A 12566-nucleotide genomic window follows, 5' to 3' on the forward strand; every position below is an offset into this window, starting at 1 on the left:
GACTCAGAATGGAAGAAAGGAATTAGCAGCCATACTGAACTCCTCCTCTCTTGTCTGGGTTATTTGAGGAGACATTTGAGCCCAGCAGAACTTCTTACAACTTCAAATTTTGCAAGGATTGCCCTGCTGGGTGCAGTGGCTCACACCTGTAATCCCAGCACTTTGGGAGGCCGAGGCAGGCAGATTACTTGAGGTCAGGAGTTTAAGACCAGCCTGACAAACATGGCAAAATTCCATCTCTACTAAAAATACAAAAAAATTAGCCAGGCGTGGTGGCGTGCACCTGTAATCCCATCTACTCAGGAGGCTGAGGCAGGAGAATCACTTGAACTGGGAGGTGGAGATTAAATGAGCAGAGTTAGCTACACTCCAGCCTGGGCAACAGAGCGAGACTCCATCTCAAAAAAATAAAAAAATAAAAATGTTTCCAAGTCCACTGAACTGGACTGTCAAGATCCTTCTTTCTCTCACTTGTAATTTGTGGACTGTAGGTCCAAAGTGATAACATTACCCAGGAGAAGGTTAAAGGTAGAGATGAGAATAAGTGTATTGCCCTTCCCCCAAGCCCACTGTCATAGAAAATATATTCATTTTCTATTGCTGTATAACAAGTGGTCACAAAGTTAGGTCTTAAAATAATGCAACCTTATTATCTCACAGTTCTCATGGGTTCAGGCACATGTCAGCTGTGTCCTCTGTTCATGGTTCCGCGAGGCTGAAATCAAGGTGATGTCTGAGGCTGCAATCTCATCTGAGGCTTGGATTCCTCTTCCAAGCTTATGTGGTTGTTGGCAGTTCCTTGTGAATTGAATTTTGGAATAGAGCAATTATGTAATGTGTTAGCCAAACTGCAATATTTTTGAGAGAATGGAGAGCTCTTAATTATTACATTGAAATAACAGGTGTAAATAGGAACTATTCTGGACAAACTGCTATGTGTGGCCACCCTAATCAACAACAGTGAACTCTGAAAGCTGTGCAGCCCCAGTCATAGCCAGGAAAGATAATGGACAATGAAGAACCTTCCCTGGGAATGACGCACAAGGAGTTTTCCTCAGAGAGCGGAATCAGGGGCTACCTCATGAACTAAGCCATAAAACCACTACCAGAGTAGGGAAACCTTGTTTCATTTCTGAATTGCAATTATTCTGTTCCTACGTTGTATATTAAGAGTGTTAGGGCACTTAACATCTTCTAATTTATAGTTTGCTGGACGATGAGATGCATTTGTTTTTGGTGATGAGAATTGTGTATTCACCCTGCTATCTTGGACTTGGAGCTGACTGTAGTGAGGGATGGGTCCTTGGGGGGGGGGTAAATATACTACTCTGTGTGTAACTAGAAGGATGTGTTCACATAAATCAAAGGCGGTAATCTGTGGTGGAAATTGGTGGTTGCCCCTTCAATATTTATTTTTAGTTATGTGACTAAGTTCTGGCTAATGGGATAAATGAAAGCGTTGTAGGGCAACTCCTGGGATTTGCCCTCAGGGTCAGAACCTGTGTACTCCCCTTTTATTCTCTCTTCCTCCATCCTGCTCTTTGAAACTCTGATGCCACCGTCTTGAGCCATCAGGTCTAGGCACAAATGGAACTGAACACTCTCCCTCACACTTTGAAACACAATACCAGCTCAAATCATGTACCTGGCTTTTTACCTGAGAAACAAACTTCTATCTTGTTTAAGCCTCTGCTATTTTGTTTGTTGTCATCTGCAGCTTAACCTAATCTTAAAACTTAGATCCTCAGCCAGGAGCGGTGGCTCATGCCTGTAATCCCAGTACTTCGGGAGGCTGAGGCGGGCGGATCATGAGGTCAGGAGTTCGAGATCAGCCTGGCCTGGCCAGCATAGTGAAACCACATCTCTACTAAAAATACAAAAAACTTAGCCGGGCGTGGCAGCAGGCACCTGTAATCCCAGCTACTTGGGAGGCTGAGGCAAGGAGAATCGCTTGAACCTGGGAGGTTGCAGTGAGCGGAGATTGCGCCACTGCACTCCAGCCCGGGCAACAGTGCGAGACGCCGTCTCAAAAAAAAAAAAAAAACTTAGGTGCTCACTCTGCACCTCATCCTGTCTGATATTTAAAAAAAAAAAAAAAAATCATATGGGCTTGAAGATCTGGCCAAACCAAATAGTGAACATTTTGGAACTAATAATGAGTTACAGAAAAACCTTCCTGTAAAGTCAACAAAACTCAGAAATCATAAAGGAAAAGACTGACAGATTTTTCCTCCCCACACATTTAATATATTCTGGCCACAGAATATGTTAAATATTCTACAGAAGAATATTCATGGGAGAGCCCCTTAGAAATGGTTGCAAACTTTTTTTCTCTCTCCATCTGCTCGCGCTCTGTCTCTCTCTGGAATCTCGCTTTGTTGCCAGGCTGGAGTGCAGTGGCACGATCATAGCTCACTGCAGCCTCAAATTCCTGGGTTCAAGTGATCGTCCTGCCTCAGCCTCCTGAGTAGCTAGGACTACAGACTCGCGCCACCACACCCGGCTATTTTTATTTTTCACAGAGACAGGGTCTCGCCATGTTGCCCAGGCTGGTCTCAAACCCCTGGGTTCAAGCAATCCTCCCTCCCTGGCCTCCCAAAGTGCTGGGATTGCAGGTGTGAGCCGTCGCACCAGGCCTGCCTTTTATCTTTTAATTTTGTGTTTGGCATCTTTTGTGTTCAGAGATGTTATCATTATGTGTCTCGCTTAGTGTTTAAAAATTCTGCTTAAAAGGGAAAATGGTTTGTGTTTCTGAGCATGTGTTTGAGTGGGATGAGATCCTGTTTCCGAAATTAACGACAGGAATGGACAAGACTGCAGTTTCCAAGAGGCGCCAGCAGGTGGCACTGTTCCCATTTCAAGCTAATCGCAGTATAGGTAGATGCCGCGCGGAGAAACGAGTCCAGGACATCCTGTGTCCCATCCCTTGGAGCATCTCCGCTGCTCAAGGTTCGGCTATTACTCAGCAGAAGGGCACTGCTGGTCTGGAAAAGAAACTTTAGGAAGCGGAAATAGTGATAAGTTAGGGTATTTATTACCGGCTAACACTTGTAGAAAAGTTTGACTATATTCAAGCCAAGAACACAAGGATTCTTGGCTGTCTTTGAAGTTAGGGACTCATCTGCAAATGTGAAGCGAGCTATGATCTCTTTTCTCAGAAAAGTGCATTCGTGTCTGCACATTGCCATTTTTCTCTCTGTCTTCTCTCACAACACGCAGTCTTCATACAATTAGAGTTCATGGCCCCTATAATCCACTATCTCTTGACCTGAATAATGTTCACAGATTTCACACAAAAAAACTGTTTCAGACCTCCACTGTTAAATTATTTTCAGCACAACTCGTCTTTTAACAAACTTTCCTCCAACTCTTCCTGGTTGCAGACACTATTCTAGGTACTTGATAAACACAGCAGTGAATTAGACAGTGAAAAGGGCCTTAGTCACTAGAGAGAGAGAGAGAGGCACTACATAAGTCAACAACAGCAAAAAATGCCAGATAGGGATAAAGGTATAAAGAAAATAGGGTAAAGTCCTCTGTAAAGAGATGGCATGAAAACCAAGATGAGAAGGAAGCAGGAGTCAGAAAACGCGGGGGACAGTATTCCCCACAAGGAACCAGCTTCTGCAAAGGCCGAGGCGGCGGTGGGCTTGGCTGAATCAGCCAGAACTCTTGGCATTTCTCTCAATTCCTTTCTTTCTTTCACTAACCACATTCAATTGACAGCGAGTTCTGTCCATTTTACTTCCAAAATACATCTCAAGTAAGTCCACTTCTCTCTATTCCTAGTGCTATCACCCTAATACAAACTGCCTAGACTGTGGGAATAATCTAACTTTTTTGTTCATTTGTTCGGCATCTACTCTCATTTCCCTCCAATCCATTTCCTATCTAGTTACAGAGGAGTGATTTTGATTTTTATTTAATTATTTTATTTCTTTTTCTTTTCTTTTTTTTTTTTTTTTTTTTTTTTTTTTTGAGGCAGAGTCTCGCTCTGTTGCCCAGGCTGGAGTGCAGTGGTGCAATCTCGGCTCACTGCAACCTCCGCCTCACGGGTTCAAGCGATTCTCCTGCTTCAGCCTCCCGAGTAGCTGGGATTACCTCCATGCACCACCACGCCAGGCTAATTTTTACAAAATAGAGGAGGTTTCGTCACATTGGCCAGGCTGGTCTCAAACTCCTGGCCTGAAGCGATCCACCCACCTTGGCCTCCCAAAGTGCTGGGATTACAGGCCTGAGCCACCGCTCTGGCCTAAGAGTATCTTTTTATAATGCAAGTCTTGTCGTTTTCCTTTCCTGCTTAAAACCCCTCACATCCTTGCTAATGAGGTCTCTAAATGGCCTTCTCAGGGTAAAGGTAGAAAGAATGGCAGATAAAACAAGACAGCTGGCTGATGTGGAGGGTCCTGCCCCTTCCCCCTTACTCTTGTGCACTCAGTTGCACTTTCAGCACCTAACAGTGGCTTAAACTAGGGTCAACAATCTATGTATGGCCCATGGGCCAAATTCGCAAAGATTCTCACCTTGACCGAACTCTCTAGTTAGAATTTTTTGAGCTCTCTTTCTTTTTTCTTTTCTTTCTTTCTTTTTTTTTTTTTTTCTATTTGAGACAGAGTCTTACTCTGTCGCTTAGGCATGAGTGCAGTGGCGCCATCTCGGCTCACTGCAGCCTCCACCTACTGGGTTCAAGCGATTCTCCTGCCTCAGTCTCTCGAGCAGCTGGGATTACAGGCATGTGCCACCACGCCCAGCTTAAGTTTTGTATTTTAGTAGACATGGGGTTTCACCATGTTGGCCGGACTGGTCTCAAACTTGGTGATCCACCTGCATTGGCCCCCCAGAGTGCTGGGATTACAGGCGTGAGCCACTCCGCCCGGCCTGAGCTCTTTTTCAGCTAGGCCTCAACCTTTGGGCTCCCATGTTTATCTCTGTATTGTCCAGTTTTAGCAAGAATCCTGCTAAGTCGGTTTAGCCAGAATCCTTTACCTCTGATGTTGCCTCTTAGTAATTTTTCCATCTGACCCGCATCCTGCTCCTTGGCTAAAAATTTCCACTTGTCTTTGTTGTGTTCAAAGTTGAGCTCAATCTCTCTCCCCCACCGCAAAACCCCATTGCAGTGGCCCCTACAACTGATCCCAATGGTAAGTCTATCTTACCTTCTTTAACAAGTGTCATGAATGACTTTTCTTTTAACAAAATCCAGCCTATTGCCTGTTTTCATACAGCTGGAAAGCTAAGAACGATTTTTACATCACTACATGGTTGAATAAATAACAAGATGAATAACACCTAATAAAGTGCATTAAAGTATGCCATTCACTACTCTAAAGTTTTGCACTTGTTAGCTCATTTTATCATTATAATTCTGTGAAGTAGGTATTATTACTCATTTTATAGATGAACTTTGAAACTGATGCTCCAAAAATTGGCCGGGCGTGGTGGCTCATGCCTGTAATCCTAGCACTTTGGGAGGCCGAGGTGGGTGGATTGCCTGAGCTCAGGAGTTCGAGGCCAGCCTGGCCAACATGGTGAAACCCTGTCTCTACTAAAAATACAAAAAATTAGCTAGGCATGGTGGGGCGTGCCTGTAATCCCAGCTACTCGGGAGGCTGATGCATGAGAATTGCTTGAACCCGGCAGGCAGAGATTGCAGTGAGCTGAGATGGTGCCATTGCACTGCAGCCTGGGTGACAAGCAAGACTTTGTCTCAAAAAAAAAAAAAAGGTGAATTAAGTAGTAGTTCAGCTGGAAAGCTGGGATTCAAACTCAAGGAGCCTTAATTTCGAGCCTATTCTCCCCACATGAAAAGGTATCCAGCACTATGAAGACAGGTATGTGAGTGGCAAAAGAGAGATGTGGGCAACAGATGGTGCTGAGTTCCCAAGAGGGAAGATCACTGTGTCTCAGAGAAGCAAGGGAAAGTTGTGTAGGCAAATGAGGCCATGTTTCCACCATGATGCGAGGCAGCACTAGCCCCAATTAAGTGAGTGTTCTCTATCTCTCCCCACTATCTCAGTAGTGAGCCTGTATTATATTCGATGATTATATTTTGGATTTTTCCAGTAAAAAAAATTGTAGAAATTTGTTTTTTTCTTCACATACAGGTACATACCTAATACCTTCTATTTTGCCTCTTGGTCTGCAAAGCCTAAAACATTTAATATCTGGCCCTTTACAGAAAACATTTGCAGAACCGTGGTTTAAACTAGGGTGTAAACCATAAAGACATTTGTTGTTTATTTAAGAAATCCACACTCCACAAAGCACACATATTTCAAAACATCATGTTGTACATAATAAATATATACAATTTTGTCAATTTAAAAGTTAATTTTAAGAAAAGAAGTTCAGATGTAGGTGATTCCAAGGTTAGTTCAGGAACTCAATAATGGTGCCAAAGACTCAATTTCCTTTTATCTTTCTGCGCTATCATTTGTAGCATTTCTATTTGTTTGTTTGTTTGTTGTCTTCTCATGGTCACAAAATGGCGGTGATAGCTCCAAGCTTTGCAGCTGATAGAAAAAAAGAAGCTTGGACAATGCATGTATAGATCAGAGACCTCTCAGCAAGTGTGGGGTAGAGGCTGACAACAAAAGACCAGGATGAGACAATTACACAATGCTGCCAAGGCCAGCACAGGTCAGAGACAGACTCAGAGATGGATGCTGTCTCTTCATTTAATGGGGAAACAGCAAAGTTTCAGTTTAGAATTAATACCAGTGGAAAAACAAGAGGAAAAATTCTGAATGTGGCTGAGTTAATCTCCATATGAATAGAAATTAATCTGGACATGACAGAAATTAAGTTAACAATAATGAAGTTTGCAGTCTCCTCTAATAGAGTGTCAGCTGCAGGAGGGCAGATATCTTGTCTGCCTTGTTCACTACTGTGGCAGATACTTCATTTTGAGTTGCCTACTCAAAATGCTTTCTTCCTTCCCCCTTCTTCCCTCCTCCGTCCCTCTCTATCCTCCCTTCCTCCTTTCCTTCCTTCCTTCCTTCTTTCCTTCCTTCCTCCTGTCCTCCCTTCCTCCCTCCCCCTTTCTTTTTTTTTTCCTAACACATCTTGAAGTACCTTTGAGATGTCAATATGCCTAGTCAAAGTACACATTTGCCGTTTCCTTTGAAAATATTGGTGGCCAAGTGATGAGCTGTGAGCAGTAGTGGGGTGGGGCTTCAGGAAATGCTCTCTAAAGGAAAGAAGCTCTTCTGACTTGCTCTTCCCTCTGCCCTTCTTCCTCCCTGGAATGTGGACCTGTTTCCTGGAGATGCAACAGCCCTCTTGCAGCCCTGGGAATAAAAACTGAATGCTGTACCAGAGGTAGAGCAGGCCAGTGGAAGGAGCCTGGGTGCTCTCTCTTTCTCTCTCTCTATCTATCTATATATATGTATATTATCTATATATATCTATATATCTATAACATACTATAATATATATTATCTCTATATATCTATATATCTCTATATAATATATAGATATATAATATATATTCTCTCTCTCTCTCTCTCTCTCTCTATATATATATATATATATATATATTTTTTTTTTTTTTTTTTTTTGAGACAGGGACTCATTCTGTCGCCCAGGCTGGAGTGCAGTGACATGATCTTGGCTCACTGCAGCCTTGACCTTCCAGGATCAAATGATCCTCCCATTTCAGCCTCCTGAGTAGCTGGGACTACAGGCATGCACCACCACGCCTGGTTAATTTTTGTATTTTTTTGTAGAGACAGGGTTTCGCCATGTTGCCCAGCCTGGTCTCAAACTCCTATACTCAAGCAATCCACCCACCTCAGCCTCCCAGAGTGTTGGGACTACATGCATGAGCCCCTGTGCCTGGCCAGAGCCTGGGCTTTGAGCAACTGCAGGAGCCCTGGACTCTGAGCTGTTTGTTCTGTGAGGAAAAAGAAACCTGTTTGATTAAACCACTATTATTTAGCTTTTCTGTTACATCAGCTGAACACAATTTTAAGAAATATAAACTTGAATCTCCCGTTCCTAAAATGGTGTCACCATAGAAGGCTCTCAATAGTCATGTGTAGAATGAATGAATGAAATACAAAGGCAGCACTAAAACTTAGTGACAGTAGACAGTTTAAGATGGTAACAAGATGCAGCACCACAGAACTACACGATCCCGGAGAGCCCTCCGTGCTGCAGTCTGCACTCATGGAGCATGAATGAACAGAGTGTGGACACTGCCCCAGGAATTCTGTCATATAGGGCACCCTCTCCACCATCCCAAATGCATATGTGTCAGTTTTTCATGATTATCACATAAATGAAAAAACACAATTGGAAAGTTCTTGGAAAAGCTCTTAGAAAACTCACAGATACCCAAGAATATCCCTCTCTGAGATATAATGTCCAGAAGGGCAATGTTGCCCTGAGATTTTAAACCATGAAGAAGTGCTCACAGAACTCATGGAAGGTGGGTGTTTCCTTTGAACACAGTTTATTGGTAGCCGTGGGTACTATTTGCTACCACCTAGTTGTGTAACTTTAAGAGACAGAAAAATAAAATCCCCTACTCAATGTTCAGCATTCCAAGTTTGAAGTCGGCACAGTTTAGTGTCCAGAGTGGAATTTCATATTCTTCTTTCAACCATAACATACCTACCAATTAGCACAACCTACCGATTTGCTCATAAAGCCCCATTCATCCGCAGCATAACATAAAGCTGCTTTTGATGGGGAAACAGCAACATTTCAGCGTTTAGAATTAATGCCAGTTCTAAACATAGACTTAAGAATGTACATTTTTATTAACTACCCATTAAAAGCAACTCTTTCCATCCCCACATGGCACCACAGAACTACATGATCCCAGAAACTCCTTCACAAGAGGGTCTCCCCTATACAAGAAACAGGTTGGTATACAAGGCAAATTAAACTATTTACCTTATGCACTTAAGATAAAGATATTTTCTCTTAAGGAAGGATTTTCTTTGTAAGTGATGAAGGTGGTTGGGTGCAGTGGCTCATGCCTGCAATCCCAACACTTTGGGAGGCTGAAGTGGGTGGATCACCTGAGGTCAGGAGTTCGAGACCAGCCTGACCAATATGGTGAAACCCCGTCCTACTAAAAATACAAAAATTAGCCAGGTGTGGTGATGGGCATCTGTAGTCCCAGCTACTCGGGAGGCTGAGACAGGAGAATTGCTTGAACCCAGCAGGCAGAGGTTGCAATGAGTCAACATTGTGCCCCTGCACTCCAGCCTGGGTGACAGAGCAAGACTCTGTCTCAAAAAAGGAAAAGAAAATGATGAAGTTGTGTGGGAAGAGCCTGACTATATCGTAATTACTGTTTATTGTCTCCCTTCCCTCCCACTCTCCTGCTGCCAATATGTCCTAAGTTGTTAACTCCACAGCAGCCAGGGGTCTTTGTTTTGTTCACCAAAGTAGCTTCTGCACCTAGAACTTTGACCAGTGCTCGACAAATCCTTCTTGATGAATGAACTGGACCAGAAGGCAGCATAACTGCATAGCGTAGAGCAAATAGCCTATCAAAGATTTTTGTTGGAAATATAAGAATAGATTATTTCACCCACAAAACAAGAATACTTCTTAATATAGGTTATGAAATATATAGAATTATTCCTGGAAACATTTTCACAAAACCATCATCCTGTAGGGCTCACTTTCACCCATGCTTACTCCTCTGCTGGATTACCTTTTACTTTATGCTTCTCTTTCCTCTACCGTATCCATCTTCTCTGTAAGTTCAAATTCCTCCCATACCACGAAGACTGGCCCAAGGGCTATCCTCTCCATATAAGCCTTCTGCACATTAATTTCTCTCTCTTTTTGAATCCTTATGATAATTTATATTTTTCTTAAGACTCATCCCATTATCAATACTGCTATAGTTATTTTGGGGATATCTTAATGGTAAATACCATTGACCCACACATCTCAAACAGCAACAAAATAAACAAAACATATGAAACAAAAATTTTCAAGACACTTGGATATGAGGCAGTGAAGGACAGTGATTCCTGAGGGTTGGGAAACAAATGAGGTGAGCCCTCCTGAGACAGCGTCCAGGTCCCAGTGTGAGAAGGGAAGACTGAGGGATAGCCCAGTAGAAACGCTGAACAGGGGAGACATTGTACGGAGTCTGAGGAGACCAAGACAGAGTTCACAGGAAAGAGTTTGGGATCATTTATTATGGAGGCCTTAGAAAACTAATATGGAGAGGGTGCAGTTTGACCAGTAAAACTTGTTTCTGTGAAGAGTTGCTCCTCAGAGGGAATTTTCTTCAACTCTTTCTTAGCCAATGTAAAAATAAAGACCTTGAAAATAAAATGTAATGTCCACAGAGGACAGTGTGTCATTTTGGTGATGCAGAGTTAAGTGTTCCTGCAGTGTAGAAGGATTTAACTTTGCAAATTTTGGATTTTTTTTTTTAAGACAGGGTCTCCCTTTGTCACTCAGGCTGTAGTTCAGTGGCATGATCATGGCTAACTGTAGCCTCACCTCCTGGGCTCCAAGGATCCTCCCACCTCAGTCTCCCAAGTAGCTGGGATGATAGGAATGTGCCACCACACCTGGCTAATTTTTTTAATTTTTTATTTGTAGAGATAGGGGTCTCATTATGTGCCCCAACTGGTCTTGAACTCCTGAGCTCAAGTGATCCTCCCACCTCAGCTTCTCAAAGTGCTGACACGAGCTACTGTACCCACCCTGGAATTTTTTAAATGAATTGATTGAATATGATGGTTGTTCCCTGAGAATTAAGGTTTTTTGTTGTTGTTGTTTGTTTGTTTGTTTTTTACCTTTTAGAGATGAGGACTTGCTCTGTTGCCCAGGCTGGTCTTGAACTCCTAGCCTAAGGCGATCCTTCTATCTCAGCCTCCCAAACTGTTGGGGTTACAGGCGTGAGCCACTATGCCCAGCCAAGTCTTTTTTCTATTATGATTTATGATGAACACACAATAGAAACTTTTTCCTTTTATCAATTCCACAGTCAGATTTCCCCAGTTGTTTCCAAAATGTCCAATATGTAGCTTTGAATAAATGAATACAAATGTCCTGTAGTGAAACCACGGGACACAACTCATAATGCATGTTGCACAGTCATTTTTCAACTGTGCTGTAATATGAAGTTGTGGTTAAGAATTTATACAATCGGGATGAGTGAACCTTTCTAAGAATTGCTTTTGAAGAGAATCTGGGTAGCATATATCAAGGAACTTCAACATGTTCTTAACCTTGAGTCCACTTCTGCATATCTATCACAATAAAATCACTCTAAATTTAAAAAGAAAAAGTTATAAATGCAACAATGTTCATCATGGAATTGCTGAAAATAGCAAAATATTAGTAATGACAATTATGGAATGGCTTAAAAATACTATGACATAGGCCGGGCGTGGTGGCTTATGCCTGTAATCCCAGCACTTTGGGAGGCCGAGGCGGGCGGATCACAAGGTCAGGAGATCAAGACCATCCTGGCTAACACAGTGAAACCCCGTCTCTACTAAAAATACAAAAACAAAATTAGCCAGGCGTGGTGGCAGGTGCCTGTATTCCCAGCTACTTGGGAGGCTGAGGAGGGAGAATGGCGTGAACCTGGGAGGCGGAGCTTGCAGTGAGCCGAGATTGTGCCACTGCACTCCAGCCTGGGCTACAGAGTGAGATTCTGTCTCAAAAAAAAAATAAAAATATAAAATATAAAATAAAATAAAAAATAGAAATACTATGACATAAGGAATACCATGCAATCATCAAATATGATGTTTAAGAGGACTATATACTACCATGGAAAATAATCTTCTAATGATAATAGGTAAGAGCAGCCTGTGGCTGGGCACAGTGGCTCACACCTATAATCCCAGCACTTTGGGAAACTGAGGTGGGTGGATCACCTGAGGTCTGGAGTTTGAGACCAGCGTGGCCAACATGGTGAAACCCCGTCTCTACTAAAAATATAAATAATTAACCAAGCGTGGTGGTGTGTGCCTGTAGTCCCAGCTACTCGGGAGGCTGAAGCGGGAGAACAGCATGTACCCAGGTGGCAGAGGTTGCAGTGAGCCGAGATCATGCCACTGTACTCCAGTCTGGGCGACACAGCCCGAATCTGTCAAGAAAAAAAAGAAAGAAAGAAAGAAAGAAGGAAAGAAGGAAGGAAGGAAGGAAAGAAAGAAAGGAAAAGAAAGAAAGAAAGAAAGAAAGAAAGAAAGAAAGAAAGAAAGAAAGAAAGAAAGAAAGAGAAAAAGAAAGAGCAGCCTGCAAAATCTAACTTACAGAATGAGTAAAACAATGTTAAAACTATGCTGGAAAAATACTAAAACATTTGCTAACAGTAGATACTTAGGGTCACTGTTCTTCATTATTTTTATATAATTTTTTCTATTTTCCAAATGTTATTGTGATTATTTTGACTCCAGATATGAACAGGCCAAAGCCAATTTATTCACGTGTAATCACCGGCTTTTTAAAATTTTTGATTGGTATCAATAGCTATAAATACAACTTACCCTTGAACACCCCAGGCTTAAACTGTGCAGATCCACTTATACGTGGATTTTCTTCTGCCTCTGCCACCCCTGAGACAGGAAGAC

The 12566-nt window shown here is 42.5% G+C and overlaps 1 annotated feature.

Annotated features, from left to right (window-relative positions):
- Positions 1123-1417: a silencer, noted in NCBI's record as "tiled region #2110; K562 Repressive non-DNase unmatched - State 22:ReprW". NCBI's record gives its function as "represses a minimal TATA promoter and a strong SV40 promoter by Sharpr-MPRA in K562 cells {active_cell/tissue: K562}" and the evidence as "EXISTENCE:reporter gene assay evidence [ECO:0000049][PMID:27701403]".

The sequence above is a fragment of the Homo sapiens genome, chromosome 7 (genome assembly GCF_000001405.40).
Source record: "Homo sapiens chromosome 7, GRCh38.p14 Primary Assembly".
In the NCBI taxonomy this organism is placed as follows: domain Eukaryota; kingdom Metazoa; phylum Chordata; class Mammalia; order Primates; family Hominidae; genus Homo; species Homo sapiens.